Below are 20005 nucleotides of genomic sequence, written 5' to 3'. Positions count from 1 at the left end.
AATCAATATATCAGAAGACTCACTAAGGCTTCTTAAGTCAGAATCCACTCAATTGGAATTCATGGTTATTCTTTTCTCCAGGAGCTGAGCTGACCTTTGCACTGTCTATGAAGAATGAGTTTCCTAAACTCATCATAGCAACAAGATATAACGGGGGTTATTAAGCCACTAAAACTTTTTCTGAATTCATATGCACTTTTTCCCAAATAGAATGCTGACGACAAATAATTTTATCAATCATTAAAGAAGATCCCTTCAGAACCTCTCCAGGGAAATACTTGTAGCTTAGTTCTGGTTAGCACGTAATGCCACAAGAATCTGGCATCATTTAGACCAGCCATTTATTCAGATATCAAGAGCAAGAGACTGTAACTGATTCCCTGACCTCTGACTAAAAACAAATATAAACAGTTCTGTGGACTAAATGTTGTTTATCCTGGGAAGGATGTGGTTTTATCACTGTTGCCCACAGTAACTGGTCAGCCCCTGTGTCTCAGAAGGGAGCTGAGAAGGCTTGAAAGGGTACACCTACCTGTCCTGGCTGAGCAAGAGGGCCATCAGAGTGGAGACCACTGTTCCCAGCCAGCCAGTGAGAGCCCACCAGGGGTTCTGAACAAGAAGTCCTACCAGAATCAGGATTCCACTGACGGGGTTGTTGACGAACACCACTTGGGATATGCCCCGGAGAATCCAGTCAATGAACTGGAGCACCACGGGTTTGTCTGGAAGGGATGAGGTAAAGCAGAGCTAAGGAAGCTGCCAAGTGATACTCTTCAACCACAGGCCCACCCTGAGCAAAATCAGCAAAACCTCCTGGAAGTGAAACATTTTTGATATTTCTTTAATATTTCTCTCTCAACCCATTGTTGCATTAGTGGCACCCAGATCCCTGAAAGCCTCTATCTACTGTATGCTCAACCCACACTGCCCCTCCTAGAATCTAAGCTCCTGAAAGCATCTAATGCACTTATTTTCATGCTTATAGGTACAAATTCTGAAGCCAAAGGAATAAATTTAAGTTTTAAGTACTGAAACTACAGGATGAAGCCAGGTGCCTTCTAATATGAGCTGGGCCCTGGCTACTGTCTCCATAAGAAAAAAAAATGGAGAGGTTTGCAGGTTAAAAGATAAAAGTAGAAAAATGGTGAGTAAAGAGATCTATAAAAAGTTGGAGAATATAACTAAAGGTATAAGTAGAAGTACCAGGAAACCATTTCCCCCAAAGCTACTTCTCCTGTCTCTCCAAAATGTGAAAGGATAAATACCTTTAAGCTGGTTGGCAAGTTCTTTCATGTCACCGGTGACATAGCCAAGAGCTTTGGGGAAGCACCTTCTCCCTTGACATGGCGAAACCTGGTTTTCACCCCTAACCATAGTGGGGCTGTCCACTCTAACCATAGTGGGGCTGTCCTCCATGGCTATCTCTTCCTCTGGCTCCTTGAGGGAAGGACAGAGCTTATAAGTATCCCTAAGGCAGAGCCCTCCAGATTAGCCAGCTTTGGGCCTGGTTACAGTAGAAGATCTGGACCACTATGTTCCATAGAACTAAGAGAGCACCATTTTCCTTCTGAAACACCACCACAGAGCTTATTAGCCAAACCCAAATCCCACAGTACCTTTGCCATCAGTGTCTGTAATGCTACCATGAGAATGTTCTGGTCTTTAATTTCATAAGGTGCAGTGTCTGGTCCAACAAACATTTACTAAGCGTGTATTTCTTGCACTTAAGGAGTTCAGTCTAGTTGAGAAGACTGAAAAACAGTTAATGTTAACAGAATGAGTCAAATCACGTAGAAAGAGCTGAAATTAAGTACGTTAGCTCCATGCTGTCAATTAAGGAGCAAGAAACCAGGTTATGGAATGGCCTGCTCACCAATGCAGGCTGATCAGCTACTTGCCAAGACAGGTAGCCTTTTTAAATTACATTTTTATTTTATAAAAAGTTTTGTTTTTAAAAGATTGAAAGGGAAGAAATTTTTAAAATTGTGTGTGTTGACACGGTCTCCCCACCCTCTGCAAGTCCAAGATGGCTTGAATTTGTCCTTATGTCATGTGACTGCCTCAGATACTCTTTACTTTTGGAATTTGTTATTTAAATATGTAAAACCAGGCAAGAAGGATATTTCATCAAGGTAGAGAAACTGGGAAAGATGGAATTGGACAAAGCTGTTGAAAACCAAAGAGCTGTAATCTAAGGATTGTATGATAGAAAAATGTGCAGGGCATAATTATAGGAAACATGTCTCTGGAACGTATGAACACTATAACCATGACTGTGTTCACTATGAGACCATTCACTTCTCATGATAAGTAGCTGCAAGAAAGCACCAATATCACCAGAATTTGGTACCTTGAAGACAAAAATGATGATTTCATTGTGCTGATGGTAGATAAAAAAGAATAGCAGTGGCATAATCCCAGAGGCAGGCTGAGGGAGGAAGCCAATGGCAAAACCACCTTGAGTGTGCAAGAACAGCCAACAGCACAGCCAGGTCAATTGGGAAGCAGGGAAACGCCAAAATCATCAGACCCTGGAAGGCATAATTGTGGAATGTTGAAGCCACAGCCACATAAGACACTACCAAAGAAACACTGAAAGCCCACATAGAGAAACCAGCCTGTCTTCTCTGTGTTGCCAGGCTGTGATCAAATGGTCCTCATGGATATTTCTGGCCCCATCATTGTTCCATTTACCATAGCTAACAAATAGCAATGAACAGATACTAAGTTATACCTATTAAAAAAAGTTGAACTCTAGCTTTGGCTTCTATTAATCCCAGTAAAGAAATCAATATGGGTAACTGATTTATTGGTAGCAATTACATTTCAATTGTATTACCTCACTGCCCAACTAACCATTCTGCTTTTTAAACAATGCCAAACTATTAATCTTTACACAAAAAAGCAGCTTTTTATACAATGCATTCCAGACCAAGGTCATTTTATCTCGGTAAAACAATGTTAGATACCAACATCTGTGTGACTTGCAATGAATCTTGGAGGTCAGGAACCAAAATTAAGTCCATATGGAGCTGAGTTGGCTCCATAGTTAAAGATAAAAAACCGTATGAATAATTAAGCACTTATGAAAAAGTACTTCTATTTCATAATCTAAGTGGTGGCTGTCATTTATTTTCAGATTATCTCCCTCTTCAAATTTCATAGCTGAACATATTGCTTGATAAGCCCATGCCTCTGCTGTAGTGACCCATTTTCAAAGCCATACCAACTTATGGGAGGCATCAGGCTTCAGCTCAGGCAAGGACAAGCAGCCCAAAGAGATAAATGCCTTGAGTTTCTGGAACTGAATCTATAAAACCCTAAGGTGGCAGCATCAAATGAAAACACTCAAGTGGCATTTTCCATCAACTCCCAAAGCAGGAACATGGACCATTTCAGAATAAACAAATTCATGTTCTCAAAATTCCCAGCATATATTTATTTATTTTAGAGGGCTTGAAATATCCCATCACCTCAGAGATTTTGGAGATACAGATTCGAAACCTGATAATAGAACTGGCCAGACGTGATTGAGAGCCTGAGCGGCCCGAGTCTCCTGTTGAGCCACCCAAAGTTAAGTAAAGATTAAACTAGTTTTCTCCAAATCGACAGCCCAACATATAGAAGACTTATTGCCATTTGTGAATCTAATTTCAACATAATTGGGATGGGTTGTAGGGCTAGGATGTCCTGCAGAGAGGGGTCTTCTCATGACCTGGGCAGACAGTTGCTGCTATTTTAGAGTCCCCAGGAACCATTTATTCTGAACAGCTGAACCCTTCTAGAGCCCCTGGGAGACCTGACTCCTTGCTCCAGAAGTCAGGCATGAGAACCACTTAGGAGAAATACGAAACTTACAGTTGTAGTTGGCCTAGAATTTTGCCATGCTAAAATATTTGCATTTCTTAGGGAACTTTAAGAGTCCTTACATCCTAACTGGGAAGACAAGGCAAGGCTATGCAGCCAGGACCTTCTGCTAATGTTCAAACATCTTAGCCCCAGTGAAGCAGGCCATTAATTTCAACTAAGAAGAAGGGACAATAAGTAAAAGGCACTCTAATAAAATAGACACAGGGTAAACGTAAAACCCCAGGTGACTTATCCCCAGCTTTTCCATGGCTGTCAAAACTTCTCAGCTCAATGGTCTAGCCTCTAAACCAAGGTGAGCGCCATGGGGCTTTTTGGACCAAGATCCCTGTGCCTTTGGCTTAGCTCACAGCCAACCCCCACTTCCCAGGCTCTGCCCGGAAAAGATACACCAGAGTTTGGAGCAGGCTCCCAGGTTCCCCGAGCCAGAGGCTGCACGAAGGAAGCATACCTGTTCCTGCGACCCATCTGCCAGGGCCAAGCTTAGCCGGGCGATGCCTCTGCGCGCTGCGTCACCAGCTTTAGTTCCAAAAGGGTCCTTCCAAACAGGACCATGACGGGCGTCACCAGCGCCGCCAATCAAAGACCGTCCATTCATCCTTACTTTTTCTCAATACATGACAAAGGGCAAAAATATGTGAATCAGCATGACGTGTGCCCTAGCTCTAATGACCACGCAAAAGGCAAGCTGAGGGGGGCTGGAGCGCGCCCACTGGGTTCCTGGTGAGGGAAGATGTGGCCCCACATGGGAGACCGCTAATGAAGAAGGAGGACTTTGCCTTCACCAAAGAGCTCTCAGTGGGCAGAAAGACAGCAGCTGACTATGGAAATTTGATGTTCATTTACTTTGCTTAAAAAAAAAATAACGGGAAGCCATCCTACACAGGGACCAATGCCCAGATTTTGTTCTGCTGCGTGTCTCTGCTGTTGGATCTGAGGTTGCTTCTTCCAGAGGGGGAGGAGGGGGTTCATGTTCTGACACGTTTGGGGGCAGATTGTGAGGGCTGCATCTTGGGGACCAACACCAAAGCAACAGGTTGCCCCACAGCAGTTTCCCTTGGCCTTGTTTATGAAATGTGAGAAGAAGGATGCATGATGTGGGCTCTGTTTTCTGTAATAAGATACTAGCCACGCTTTGTAAGCATTCACAAGCTGCCTTTAAGAGACTCCTAAATGGTATTTTTTTTTCCTGTGCCACCACATCCAGCTGTGTTTATTTTAATTTATTTTATTTTTTTTTAGAGACAAAGTCTCATTGTATTGTCCAGGCTGGTTTTGAATTCCTGGCCTCAAGTGATCCTCCCACCTTAGCCTCCCAAAACACTGGGATTACAGGCATAAGTCATCATGCCAGGCCAAGAACTCTTAAATTTTGAACATCACTTTGTTAATAATAAACAGTTTTTAGTTGAATTCCACAAATGTGGCAGCTTTTTATAAATTTTCTTTTTCCTTTTTAAAACTTCCATTGCATCCAAGAATATCACTCTTTTACCAGAAGTTCCAGTTGTGTGTGTGGTATTTCTCTTTTTCTCCCCCTGTTGTTTATTCTGTTTTTACTTTCTTCTTCTGGCTTGGCCTAAAACCTGAAAACCTACCCTTTACCAGAATGACTCAGAAAAATCCACAATTTTAGGAAACACTTCTGACATGTCTCAGGTAAAAATTGTGTGTGTGCATGCATGTGTGTATATTTACCTATAGTAAACTAGCTGGCTAGTTCTGTACCACACTGATGTGCCTGCATGTTGCATTATGAATATTTTTATTTGATAAAGAACAAATGGTTAAGAAACCCAGTGGTAGGGCTCTCATGTTATATAAAGCTAAAAACAAAGAAATAAGAAACAATGAAGAATGAAAAAAGAGACAAGCAGGGGTTGTCACATTTTCTCAGTGTAGACAGCGTCTCCTTCTGCCCCTGCCTGGCACCGGCCTTTCCTCTACCACCAAAATCACACACCTTGGAGAACCCCTTCCTTGAGCTCAACATCAATATTTTCCTAGAACCAAGAGAAATTTGAGAGCTAGGTAGGATTTTAGAGACCACGTAGTTCAAGCCTTCATTTTATAGAAGAGAAAACCAAGGATCAGAGTGGGCATCATCCAGATTCACTCAGTACGTGGCAGGCAGACTGGGTCTTATGGAATAGGTCAGCTCTGGTGGTTCTTAATTTTTCAGTCTTGGGCCAGGCACATTAATGCCACCCAAGGTTCGGTTCAAGTCAACAAACAAGTGAAGCAGCAGTTTCTGTGTGCTGGAGTATGCAGAGAGGGCTAGGACTTAGCGATGCGGTGGGCACAGACTATCTTCACGGTCACTTTGAACTAATCTTGGGGTGGGGGTTGAACAACCACAAAGAAAGAGCTCTGCTATCCCCAGTTTCACCCTATGCCCTTGCCAGAAGCAGTTACTCTCTGACAAACAAATGTCTCCCTGTGCCTCAAAGCTGACACATCTACAGCAAGGCTTATGTGTGCTGAAGTTAACATCCCAAGAATATCCTGGAAGCTGCACCTGAAGAGCTTTCCAGCAGAAGTCAAAAAGCACTTTTCATACCCCAGATCACTAGTAAAATGAAGCAGTGCTTAGCATTTTAATACAAGGCAATATCAAGATTTCAGGTCAACTAATATCCTCTATTTTATTACACGAAATAAAATATATTCTATTGCCAGCATGTATTAGAAATTTGTGCAATTGGAGAGACCTGAAGTCTTCAATTTTCCATGCTTCAGCTATTACTTTTAAAAATAATATGAAGTGTTGGATATGGATATAGAAGAAAGCATTTAAACACTCATGGTCTAGCATAATAAAGAGACTTTCAGCATTGACACTTATTTGGTACTTACTATAATCTTTATTTTAGGTAGTTTTTGATTTTAAGTAGCAGGAGATGCCCAGTTTTCTTTAAAGCTGTAATTGGAAACAAAGAAAATGCTGTCAGATATTCCTGTGTCCTGGTTAAAACACTTCCCTCCTTGGAAAACACTACTCCCAGAAGTCTTGATTCCAGACTCCAGAGAGTGCAGCTGCAAGGAAGCTGCCAAATTCGTGGCTTCAGTTGTGACTGACTTGTTCTCCCGATGGGTGCACAAGAACATTCCCTTCAGCATGACAGCACACACAGAGGAGTCCATAAATCCATCACTGGAAAGGGCCATTCCCAGTGGCCCACTTTTTTCTTTTGAGTCTTGTAGACACTCGCCTCGAACTTATTTCAAGAACACAGCCCAAATTATTATTTCAAGAACACAACCTGAAACTCCTAATAGTGTTGATTAACCCAGAATCATTGAGCACATTGGGTGGACACCTCCCTGCAAACCCTCTTCCACATCAGCTCAGGTGCTGCATGCACCTTGCTTCAGAAATCACGAATAAAGGCATGCCTTTGAGCTTCCAGGAAGAAGCCTGTGGCTTTGGTAAATTGCTTTCTAGTCTACCAGAACTCTGATTTTGCTACTTCTGATCAATTCCGGTGATATAAAACATTTTCTTCATTAAGAAAAAGAGCAAAACTTAGAACTGTGAAGACAAGCCCCAAATGATGAATAGTTGGAAATGAATAGAAATAAGGATGAGTACTTACACCACTCTAGCTGGCTTCCTGGCAGCAGAAGGCAGTGGCTGATAAAGATTTGCCCACCTCCACGACAAGGGAGAGTGCTTCTCAGGAGATGGTGCTGGAGGGAGGCACCTAACAGTTATATACTCAGAGCCCCACTCTGCTCTGTGTGTTTGTGGGCTCGGCTTTCTCCTCCCACTTCAGGCATCAATGCCAAAGCAACACCAAGGAACTGGTCCCCTGGCTTCAGTACCCGATGTCTCTCTCTCTGTTCTTGACAGAGTACCAACTGCTTTGCCACAGTTTCCACAGCATTCCAAGGTCTTTGACCAGCAATAATCCTACCAAAATGCATCTTTTTCTTCTCCTGTTTCCTCTGGCCCCTACTCATATTTTTGGAAAGATTTACAACTGAAAAGGATCAACACGGTGTCAAACTAAAAACCATGGGGCAGGTTGCTGCTGTGTGGACTCGGAAGCTAAGCGACTGCTCCTGGGGTGAAATTTTCTTAGACTTGGCACAACTTCTACACAGATGTAAGACTCCAGCAAGGGCCTGAGGGGCTGTTGGGAGGGTGGGGAAGATAAGGTACATGCAAGTTGTTTTCTGAAGGCCAGCTGCCTTTTTCCCAGTGAGGAGAAAACAAAAATATCAGTGTTTCCCTGGAATGTCTGTCTTCCCAGGTGAGAATTCTTGGACATACTCTGCTGCCTCTTTAAAAGTCAGGAAGCAAACATTCTATAGCAGGGAAATCTAAAACTGAATTAAAATATCTCCTCCTTCCCCCTTCTTTTTAAATTTCAATTTTGTGGCTTGTTCTGTTATGGCAAAAATCTAACTCAAATCTACTTTTATGAGTGCAGAATTTTAAAAAAATATATGTGTATATATGTATATGTGTGTATATATGTAACATATATACATCTATATTACATACATACATGTATATATGTAGATATATACATATAATAAATATACATATATACATATATTACATATGTGTAGATATATATGTGTGTATATATGTAATATATATACATATATACATATACTTTTAAATATATATATAATATATATATGTAATCCCACAGCCAGCCATGCAGATGTCATAGGTCTTTTATCTGGGTCTCCTGCCTGCTTGGATGTGCAGATAGTACTTATCAGCCTTCAGCTAGGTGGCCCATGGCTGGGAGCTCTCTGGCTCCACCCGCTGGACACCCGCCAGACCACAGGGTTCTTGCCGGCTTGGGACATCCTTCCTCCAAGTGCCTCCCGAGCAGCTGAGGTAGGGTGTGTATAGGTCTAGGTTCATAATAAGAGTTTCCAGGTTCAGGCAAATCTCCTTCCAACATTTTTTCCCTGGTAAAATAAGGAGAAAATAAGCTCCTCGGGTTTCCCTGAAGGAGAAAAATGAATCTTCAGGAGACAGTGTGAGTGGCCTGCTTTGGGAATGAAAGGAATCATACTAGTGTCTCCATGACTTCCTTATGCAAATGGACCACTGTCCCTGATAGAAATAATCATGCTAATGATGGTAATGAGAATAATAACTGCCACAAATGGTAGAGCATTTGCAAAATTCCTATATTATACTATTGTCCCCATTTTGTAGATGAGCAATCTGAGGCTCAGAGTTTAAATAACTTGCTCAAAGTCTGACTCAAAGTTTGTACTTTTAGCCACTCCAGTGCTGTCCAATATTTCCAACTTCTGCCTGTATGTTTGCTTTTCATTAATTCCTTCACTCAACTTGGCCATGATGCATATTTATGGACCTCATCCTGAAGCTGCCTCCACATGACACCCATGGAGCCTTCTGCCTCAGTCGCACTGGTCAGGGCTGAAGGTGTGTAGTGAATCTCAGACCTCCTTGGAAAAACCACCTCTTTCTGTACCCACCCTCCCTCCCTGGCCTTTCTCCTGGTCCCTGTAAAGCCACACCTTAAGTGGGGGGCCACAAATTACAGCCTTGCCATATTGTATGCACAAGGCAGCACAAGGCACATGGAATTCCAAGTCAGATAAACCTGAGTTTGAATACTAGCTTTTCTCTGACAAGCTGTATGACCTTAGGCATGTTACTCACAGTTTCTGAGCCTCAGATTCCTCAGTGTAAAGTGGGGTAACTTTTCTTCCTTTATAAAGTTGTGATGAGGGATGACATCTTCAAAGCACCGTGCCGAACATGTAGAGGTGCCCCCATTCTGATGTCAGCCCCTCTCAATCAGCACTGGTTTACCTTGGGGGTTTCCAAATGGAACCTTCCTCCTGGCTTGAATAAGGGGACAAACTTCTCCCTGCTTTGACATCAGAAGGGGTGCAGTTATGAGTACAGAGGAAACCATTTGCTTCATTCAAGAACTGTGAACTAGGTAGCTTTCTGATGCAGGGCTTGCCAAATTCTCATACTGCAGGATTCTGAGATGCCAGGGTCCGCTGCCACCCTGTTGCTGTAGACAACTGGGCACTCATTGCGTGCATACATGTGTTCTCGGTGCTTTTAACAGCCTAATTGCACAATACAATGAACTTTTCTCTGTTCTTTCTACAGTAGCTCCTTTATTATTTCCAGAGAGTCATTTGCTGAGTATGCCCTAACATTGCCTTTCCTTGGTCTTTCCCTTGCATCTCCTCTTTGGGTGCCCCTCTCTGTTCCCATACCAAGTGAATGCACCTTCCATCTCTCTGCCTGGAACAATCACAAATGAACCTACATAAAGCTGCTCTCCTCTTCGACTTTCTTCTTGGAGTTTCTGCCCCTAGAATGTTTTCTCTCTCCTCCCCCTCCTCATACTCTGCCCAAATCTATTTGGATTTCGCAGTGGGCTTCTGTGCACTTAAAGCAGTTTACATCTCTATTCCTCACTGGCCATGAAATCATGCCGCCTAGCTCTGCAACAGTTCTGGTACTGTCTTATTTTTTAGAATATATCTTACGATGCACAGTCCCATCTGGGCCGGAAGGTACCGGATGATGAAGTCAGGATCCAATAGCTCTCTCCATTCCTAATGGACCTCTCTTTCCAGAAAGATTTTGAGGCAGTTCATCAAATATACGTAAGAGGACATAAGAACTAGGTGACAAAATGGAGAAAGGAGAATGCAACTATGGATAAAACACAATTTTCATATTTTTTCTACAATACCTTGCATTTGTTGGTATTTCTAAATTTGTGTTGTTTTAATCAGAAATTATAACACTGTTTCATTTGATTGCTGCTTGATATTGATCTACGCATAGGCAGTTTAATGTTATAAATAATTGGCACCTCAAGATTATGTAATTGGGCAGTGCCCTCACTGAGGACTTCTACAAGACATTCTCATGCTTTTCTGTCCCCTCACCCCCCCACGAAGAGAGTGGCAAGGACTGCAAGTCTGGAACAGAATGTTCCTTTGCAGTGAGTTCTGAGCCTACTGAGTTCTTTGGTTTGGTAAACAGTCAGATAAAAAGGTACCAGACGAGAGCCAAAACTCCCAGAACGACACTTGGAGGGGACCCTTTGATGTAGGCATTCCCTAGAGTGAAGCCAAGGATCAAGGCAGCGCAGAGAGTGCAAAAGTCTCACTCAAACCTCCACTGCCTGCCCTTGCTGGGGGAACACAATGACGGGTGATGAAAGGAGGCACTGAGGTCCCTAAGTTTTTAGCTCCCCTTAAATGCAGTCCTGAAATTATTCCATCCATTTTAGGAGTAAACGGGGATCAATAGCTGGGAGCATCCAGAGATGATGTTCCTCCTGCACAAAGCAGAGGGTTCATGTAATCTCCATCCCTACCTACAACTTTCATCAGATGCCCATCTGTCACCTTTCCAGCTTTTAAATTAAAATCAGACCAGTGTAAGGCTCATAATGTAGTCTCTGGTGTCATGGGCCAATGCGTAAGGGTGTGCAGGTTGTGCACTGCACAAATGCACCACGTCTAAGGGGGTCACTATTAATGTCCTAGAAATTTGTGTGTTTATTGCAACAAAGTTCTTGAAGATGGTACTAAAATGTCTTGAGAAAAGGGGTGCTAGTGTGTCTGTGCAAGGAGCCATATTGTCTAGCAATACCTTGAGCTTTTAAAAATTTTCATTTTTATTTTTTTTGAACACCGAGAAGCCAGCTTTTGTTTCTTTTTCTTCTTCTTCTTCTTTTTTTTTTAGACAGAGTCTTGCTCTTTTGCCCAGGCTGGAGTGCAGTGGTGTGATCTCAGCTCACCGCAACCTCCACCTCCTGGGTTCAAGCGATTCTCCTGCTTCAGCCTCCTGAGTAGCTAAGATTACAGGCATGCACCACCATGCCCAGCTAATTTTGTATTTTTAGCAGAGACAGGGTTTCACCATGTTGGCCAGGCTGGTCTCAGACTCCTGACCTCAAGTGATCCATCTGCCTCAGCCTCCCAAAGTGCTGGGATTACAGGCATGAGCCACCACGCCTGGCAAGAAGAAAGGCTTCCCTGACCGGGAATCAAATCCGGGCCATGGTGGTGAGAGCGCCAAATCCCATCCACTACACCACCCGGGGCATCATCCTCCCTCCCAGGCTTGCGCCTTTTGTTTCTTCAAGATTAAAAGAAAAAATCATTTCCCAGTGAGGAACAATAGGGAAAGAGGTAGGAGGAGAATCATCTCAATCTCTTTAGGCTCAGATGAAAAGGAGAGTAAAGTGTTGGAAAAATGAGGGGTGGGGACTGGCATGGCCGCGTTTCCCTAGGCCCCTGCTAAGGATAAACCACATGCATCGGATTGTTCTCTTACTGTAAAAGATGAGGGGATGCTGGCCCCAAGGTTAGGAAGTTGAGCTCGATTTGATAATTGGGCCGGGAAGAGGAGGTGGGACGGCCTGGCATCACCATTGCGAATGGGGCTCGCTGGGCACCCAGATCGATCTGCTGTCTTTTTGTCTGAAGGTTTGCCAAACCAAAACATCCGTGGGCTCAGAACACACTGCAAAGGAATGTTGTATTCCAGACTTGCAGTCCTTGCCATGCTCTTTGTTGAGGGTGAGGGGACAGAGAAGCATGAGAATGTCTTATAGAATTCCTGAGTGTGGGTGCTGCCCAATTACATACTCTTGAGGTGAAAATTATGTGTAACATTAAACTGCCCATGCATAGATCAGGATCTGAGTTACTCACCAGGGGCCTGGCTGGGATGGGGCAGGTGTATTAAAGTGCGACTATTCTCTGGAGCTGGGGAGGTGGCAGCTGGCTCAGGCCCCTTCCTCATCATTTGTCTCAACTGGAGACTGAGTATCTGCCAGCTGCACAGTTTTGTTGCTCAGCCTGATTTAATGACCTTTGTGGTTATTAGGAATCCTCCCTGTTACTATTCTCCTGCCTTACACCAATTGACAGCCAAGAGCTGGACAGTGATTCAAAGTCCTTTAACCCTGACCCCTCCTCCCATTCCCCTGGCCTCTACTTTCTTTTCTCTTGGTATCACCGAGGCTGGGTTGTGGGGCAAAGGCAGAAGGAACTTAAGGGCAAACTGGACAAACTATTCAATGACCTGTTCCATTAGTTGACATGAAACTGGACAACACTGCATCCTCAACTTCTTGAGTTGGGAAACTGGAGTATTATGATTTAACTGACCACAGCCTTAGCAACTCTCACTATAACAGCGTTGGCCTAAGAAATGCAGATTGCAGGGATACTATAGACACAGAGGAGAATCCCCTGTACCTCTAACATGGTATCCTGTTGTTAAAGAATAAACCCGAGTCCAAGTTTTCTTCAAAAGCAAGATTAACACCCAGTAGAGAAGGCTTTATTTATTTATTTTGGATGCTACATCTCTTATTAGTACTTAAAAATCAGCTAGGCATTACAGCACCATTATCCTTTCTGTATAGCATTGGAAAAATACAAAATTTTCCATTTCTCATTCAAGATTCAGATGAATAAATGGTGATAGAACTAAAAGGAGGGTTCCTAATTAATCACAAACCCCTGCTTTTAAACAAAAGATGGCGACTCTCAACACTATTGTAACTCTTATTTGGAGAAGTGTTCGCATTGACTTTGTTTCTGGTACCGGAAGAAGCCAGCTTTTAATTCAGCTTCTTGGGACCAGTGGAACCTTCTCCCAACTGGGGTGTCAACTGTGGGTCCTGGAGAAATAGCAATGTGGGAAGAAATAGGGCATACACAAGGAGACACAGGTTTCCCATTGTTTATCCATTTTCCCTACCTGCAGTCTTTTTCTCACTCAGCTGAGGTTGCTGATTATTTTCTCCCAACACCTGGACCAAGGGACATATTTAAACTGGGGGCTAATGTTTAGTTTTGTCCTGGGCCTGAGGTGGCTAGGATGTGCTGATGTGAGGGAAGTCAAAGAGTTTATTCCTGGGTAGGTCACTTAGCTTTCTAGTCCCCAGCAGCATGACACAATGGCACGCCGGCCAGCCAGTCCCAAAGTGTCAGTGGAGGTCTGAAAGTGGGCCAGGGGAGTGAGGATGGGTGAGGAAATGTCCTTCCTTCATACAGAAGAGTGTCTAAGGCATGGTTCAGGAGATGTCATCTTTGAAGACAAGTGTCTGTGATCTCACAATTAAACCCACATCAACATGGACAATGAATTAAACATTGTTGAGTGAGATGGAAAATCCTAGGCAGAAACTTAAACACCCTTGTGATATGATGAGTAAAACAATATCCCCATGTGGACTTTTAATGCCCAACATCACTTAGCATTTTGGCTCCTTCTGACTCACACTTTTGTAAAACCTGGGGTCTACAGAACCCCCAAGAGACTTGACTGCCATGTAAGTCTCACAACCAATTGCTCAATAGCTTTATTTTTATTTTTTGTAACCAAGGGGTCTTGCTAGGTTGCCCAGGCTGATCTTGAACTCCTGGCCTCAAGCAACCCTCTCACCTCAGCCTCCAAAAATGCTGGGATTATAGGGGAAGACCACACTTGGTCCTCAATAGCTTTTTATCCTCAATGTTTAATAAGGAGAAATTCATTTTAACATCCATGACAGCCTTGAAGGATGAAGTTACCCAGGGGCATCCCAGGTGGTTGGTGGAGTACCCAGAACTTTGTTCTGTTATCTAAGATTTCTCTTTGAGGAGATGGTGGGGGGCTCTGGCCTTTTCTCTTGATTATGGCAAGAGATGGCATTATGGTCCCTAGAGTAGCCTCAAGCCTTTTTTTTTTTTTTTTTTGCTTCAAGCAGATTGTTCCATTTATTTCTCTACTTGGTGTATTCCATTCTATTATTTAAAAATCATCCTAATCCTAATCAGAAAACCTTACAATATGACTTCCTCATGGAGGCCATTCACTTTTATAGTCCTTCCTTCAGTAGATTCACACTGGGTAAAGCCATCTCACCTGTTATTATGCCTTTCCTCAATCCCAATGTGACACCCATTTCCTACTCAACTTGGCTTCTGAACTTTCTTGTCCATTAGAGCCACACCACCTTTCTCATTTCCTCCGTTCACTCATCCATCGTGTAAGAGATGCCAAACACAGGAGGATTCCTAAATGAAGAAATGTTGTTCTTGATGTTAAGGATTTTAGTTTGGTGAAATTCTCTATCTTTCAGAATCTTCTCCTCAGCTCCTAAATGTGTGTTGCCTCCAGTGTTGGCTTGGATTCTCAGCTCCTTATGTATTTTCCCTTGGCAAATTCCTGTATCCTACTTTCTTTCCCATTCTGCTTCATCCCACTACAGCATGTTATGTTTAGCCAGTTTATTGGAAACAGTCCTGGAGAAGGAATGGAGAGATACTAGTTCTGACAAGGTTGCCATTTCATTTATTGGCTTCTCAATTGCTCACTTCTTAGGAGAAGAGTTGGGCTAACTCAGCGATTCCCAGGCTTGTCTGCACATTGGAATTACCTGGAGAGCTTTAAAAAATGTGGATAGAGCATCCCTCCCCTAGAGAGTCTATTGTAATTAGTTTGGGGTGTGGGGGGGTTTAAAGTTTTCTTGGTGATTCTAACGTGCAGGCAGGGTTGCGAACCACTATGCTGAATCTACTTAACGCTAATTCCCCACTCTCTAGAACAAGGAACTGCTTCACAGTGGGATCAGGTAGATTTTGGAGTTTAATAGACCAGGTTCAATTTCCAGCCAGCAATGACACCTCAGGGAAAATCACTTCACCTTTTTGAGCCTAATTCCACTATGAAATTAATGAAGATTAATAATATCTACCTTCCAAATATAAGGATCAAACAAGATCATAGAACAGGACAGGCATTCAAGCAAAGGTAATTATTATTATTTCTCCTAAAACAACAGTTCCTGTCTCTGACTTCATTATTTCCGCCAATGGTGTTACCATTATCTCAGTTCCTAGGCTCAACAAATGCTTGCTGAGTGAGCACCAGATGGTGGAGCCGATCATCCTTCCTTGTGAAGGAGAAGTGAAGGTTAAATTTCACTCACTTTGGTGAATGTTTTCAGGTCTTGCTACTCACAGTGTGGTCCCCAGATCAGCAACATTGACATCCCCTGGAACTTGTTTAGAAATGAAACATCTCAGTCCCACCCAGACCTTCAGAATCAGAATTTGCATTAAGTAGGTCCCCAGGGGATTTGTTTGGAAAGCACTGCTGTAAAGCATCCCTGTCCTTGAGACTAGGTGAAAAGGCATGAATTCAGCCCCTGGAGTGGGGACAGTTTACAAATTCCGATGTCTTGTTTGGAGATGCCATGGTGAGCCCAAGTGAGTCATGGTGGCATTCCAGCTGGCAGCAGGGAGTGTGCCGTTGCATGCTGGGCCACACCAATGGAAGGCAACACTCTAGGCCAAGCCTTGTCCTCCCATTAAACTTCATCAAGTCACTCCATCAGGTCCCACCCTCTGCGTGGTGCTGGTTGCTTCATATAGGTTTGGTGGGTGCCTTGAGGCCATCAGTTACCATGAGACATCATCACATGTCACGGGAGGGTGATGCTTGCACACACAGGGGCAGGGCTTCCTCCAGCCCAGGGAGTCTGGCAGCACCTTGTGTGGTTTAGCCAGAGGCCTCTGCATCCTGCCCACTCACAGGACTGACACCCGCTGCATTGCAGGAGCAATCCCCACCCCAGGGTCTCAGGGGACTTCTTGAAACATTTTCTTGGTGGGTTCCATGCCCTGGTTTTTCCACCTTGGATTCCCTGATCTTTGTAAATTCAGGGACCCTGCAGTAATTCTCTCCTATACCACACCAGTATACATATGACTTCTTTGTCCAAAAGGCCAAAATAACAAAACACTGTGTGGAACTGTACTTTCTGTAGCCTACATTATAAAAATAGACATTTTGAAGGCAATTTTCTAAATGACACTGCCATCCCATCTGCTATCCCTCCTACCCCAGGACAGGGGTGGGTAAGCATCTTCCATTATGACTGCCTGATGGAGAAAAGGTCAAACTTCAGGCCACAGTCATTGGCATGCATCTCCCAAAATATTTCTCTTTCCTCTCACCGTAATTACAGGATCTTGCAACTGTCTGCTTTATAGAGCTTCCCCACTCACTGGCTAGCTTCCTGAGGGCAGAGTCTGGGATGGTCTTGTTTACTGATGTAGCCCCAGGTTCAGTGTCTGGCTCATGGAGATTCATAATAGTTATTTGTTGAGTATATGGATGAATAAATGGGTGAACGACTCTGATACTTGAAGACTAGGATGAGTTCCTGTGAGGTCCTGAGATAGGGTGTGTGTGTCTCTAGGTTGGCAGGGAAGTCGGGGTACAATTCCTCTAAATATAGCCCTCAGAGCAGGGGTCCAGAATTGTGACTGGGACAGGTAGCCCAGGGTCAATGCCCTTGCCACTGGGGACACACACAGAGCTCATAGGTCCTGTGGCAGGTGAATCAGCCTTATGCACCAAGCTCCCAGGATGCCAGCCTTGGAGATCTACCCCAAGGGGAGAGGCTTTAGCTTGCTTCTAGGACTGCCCTGAACCTGGGGAGTGTCAAGCCTCAGTTCTAGGTGCATAGATTGGCCAGTTCTGGGAACACCCGAGCCATTCTGAAGCTGGCAAGCAGGAAGGAAGCCTGTATCTTCAGGCCCTCTTTGGCAGAGATCATTGTGGATGACACAGAACAATACCAATCCCAGCTGCCAAACCCAGAGGCCTGAGGCCCCTAAGGATCAGGTGTGGAATGGGACCGGTCCTTCCTTTACATCGTGGTCACAAGCTGTAAACTCATGATCCCTTGGCCAGTTCACCGCCTTCCTACTTTCCAAACTCAGCAACTTCTCTCAGGCTGCAGGCCATGCCCTTCCAATTAACTGTCATTTTTCACCCCCAATTTCCCATCCTACTGAGTATCTGGGTAAGTCCTCAGGACTCCAGGGAATGGTGTGAGGTGTGAGATAATTCTTGCACCTGGGGAGGCAATAAGACACAGGGAGCATCAGTGAAAGTCAAGGCTGCATAAGATCAATGGTGACATTGGGGCAAAATAATGCTTCTTCCTTAGCACACAAGGGGTTTGTAATATCATTAGCTAAAAGGGAACCCATTATGTGGTCTTCCAGGGAGGGACGGGATGCCCATCAAGTTCAATCAAGAACTGCCAGATTTTAAGTCTCCCTTAAATGATACTATGTGATATGCAATTAAGTGCTAAATTGTGGGCAGACACAATTTAGGATTAAGAGAGTTTGGGTAATATCAGTAGAGTCTAGAGTAAGCAGAAGGAACTTTACTAAAGATGTTGGCCTAATAAGGCCCTTAATATTTGAGTAGCATTTAGCGAAGGCAGGAAAAGAGAGAGTGGCCTTCAGGGGAGAGACTTAAGGATAAGCTAAGAGAAGCATGGCTTGTTTTAGGGGCTGCAAACAGCCTGTGATCAGACTAGAAGGTGTGTGCTGTGAGTCATGGCCTGTGAATCTAGCCCCCACTTATGTCCACAAGGAAAGCACTGTTTCTTTATGTTTGCATAAGGCATCAGAACTGATAGCATCTTCTGACATTCCCTTCCTCATGTTGTATGATACAATGACCAGACATGGAGCCCCTACTGCCCCTACCAAAGGACTCACCATCAAATAAAGTACAAGTAAGAAAAATACTATATTATCAAAGACAAGATGCAACTATGAATCCTATGCCATTTAAAATAGCAAAATTATGCTCTACGTTCAATAATATGGGCAATATGAACTAGAATGCATTGGGATTTCCTATATAAAGTAGGATTCAAGTAATAACTATAATAACAGTCTATATAACTATATAACATGTTATATATATAACTACATAACATTCTAATAACTATACAACATTCAAGTAATAACTATATAAACTGTAAGCAAATATTAAACACAGAGCAGTCTGATTTTTCTTCTTAACGTGGGAGAAATAAGCATCATTTGCCTGCTCTCTATTTTCCATGCATTTCTATGATTCTCTGTAATGATGGAAGGTTTCAAACACTTTCTACTGGTCTAAAACCTCCTTTGGCCAGGCATGGTGGCTAACATCTGTAATCTCAGCACTTTGGGAGGCCGAGACGGGTAGATCACTTGAGGTCCGGAGTTCGAGACCAGCCTGGCCAACATGGTGAAAACCCCATCTCTACTAAAAATACAAAAATTAGCCAGGCGTGGTGGTGGGCACCTGTAATCCCAGCTACTTGGGGGGCTGAGGCAGGAGAATTGCTCGAAGCGGAGGTTGCAGTGAGCCGAGGTTGTGCCATTGCACTCCACCCTGGGTGACAGAGCGAGACTCCATCTCAAAATAAATAAATAAAAATAAAACCTCCCTAAATGCAGCAGATGCTTGATGCCTGTAGCTCCAAAGTTCTGCCTGTTTTCGTATTAAATAAAGAATAGTAACAAATAAGAAGTGGTGGTTGCCACTTTAAGAAAGTTATGAAAACCTGCCAAGTCATTAGGATTTTTTAAAAAGTTCTTTACAACTTTGGGGCTTCTCTGAAAACAAGGGTGTTGGAACAAATTCTCTGAGGCTTTGCTGCCACTACCCTCTCCAGCTAGTAGGGAGGGAGGGTTCCTTACAGAACTGCTAACAAAGAAGACAGTTTTCCTGCCAAACAAGCTGATGCTGGAGACTTACTGGAAGAGAGATTATGACATTGGAAAATGATATGTAGGAATTATGAAGCCCAAAGGAAAGATGAGGTCTTCTGGATTATTGACCAGGTTTGCAGAGTGTCAAAAACCAGATGAACAGATATAACTCTAAAGTAATTGGAAATCAGGAGTAATTGAAGTTCTGTGGACAGAACAGTGTGAGGATGAAAGCAGCATTTAGGGAGCTTATCTGGGAGCAGTCCACGGGGAGGCCTGAGGGCCAGTGCCAGGGAGCCTCACTGTGAGCTCTCCTGAAGCAGGACAGTACTGAGAGGAAAGGGCTGAAAATATGAGATCATTCTGGAGGAAAAAAGAAATACCTTAGGCATGGAAGGGTGAATCAAAAATGGCATCAATTGTTGGCAGGGAAGTGGAGTTGCCAAAACTTACCCACACTGCTGGTAGAAATGTGCATTGATACGATCACTTTAGAAACTGCTGGCACCGGCTAGGTGCGGCAGCTCACTCCTGTAATCCCAGCACTTTGGGAGGCTGAGGCAGGTGGATCACCTGAGGTCAGGTG

The 20005-nt window shown here is 43.7% G+C and overlaps 1 protein-coding gene and 2 long non-coding RNA genes across 17 annotated transcripts in view; 1 reads left to right on the top strand and 2 right to left on the bottom strand.

The window, feature by feature from the left end:
* SLC14A1 (solute carrier family 14 member 1 (Kidd blood group)) overlaps positions 1-7556 on the bottom strand; it is a 28340-nt gene extending 20784 nt beyond the window's left edge. For 4 of the 13 annotated variants that reach the window (NM_001128588.4, NM_001439164.1, XM_011526144.2 and 1 more), the window contains exons 1-5: positions 7464-7556; positions 6724-6787; positions 4319-4476; positions 1266-1437; positions 533-722 (exon numbers count right to left, since the gene is read on the bottom strand). In NM_001128588.4, coding sequence (NP_001122060.3) covers positions 533-722; positions 1266-1437; positions 4319-4465 — 509 coding nt within the window. In that variant the 5' untranslated portion in view covers positions 4466-4476; positions 6724-6787; positions 7464-7556. Of the gene's footprint in view, positions 1-532; positions 723-1265; positions 1438-1616; positions 1752-2350; positions 4785-6723; positions 6788-7463 lie in introns of those variants that run through there. The other 9 variants (XM_047437758.1, NM_001146036.3, XM_006722526.4 and 6 more) reach the window with 9 other exon arrangements.
* The window catches only part of LOC105372093 (uncharacterized), a 176501-nt gene that overhangs the window by 51100 nt on the left and 105396 nt on the right, over positions 1-20005 (top strand). The gene's annotated exons all lie outside the window — the stretch shown is intronic.
* LOC105372092 (uncharacterized) lies at positions 8702-18588 on the bottom strand. 3 transcript variants are annotated; one of them, XR_935422.3, is made up of 4 exons: positions 14771-18588; positions 10378-10514; positions 9527-9740; positions 8702-8799 (listed from the first exon to the last, which is right to left on the bottom strand). It is a non-coding gene; the product is annotated as an uncharacterized LOC105372092 (long non-coding RNA). The 3 variants fall into 3 exon arrangements; XR_001753558.2 differs by lacking the exon at positions 8702-8799 and having other exon boundaries at positions 9526-9740; XR_001753559.2 differs by lacking the exon at positions 8702-8799 and having other exon boundaries at positions 9526-9737.

Source organism: Homo sapiens, chromosome 18 (assembly GCF_000001405.40).
Source record: "Homo sapiens chromosome 18, GRCh38.p14 Primary Assembly".
NCBI lineage: Eukaryota > Metazoa > Chordata > Mammalia > Primates > Hominidae > Homo > Homo sapiens.
This window is presented reverse-complemented; position numbering and strand designations above follow the sequence as displayed.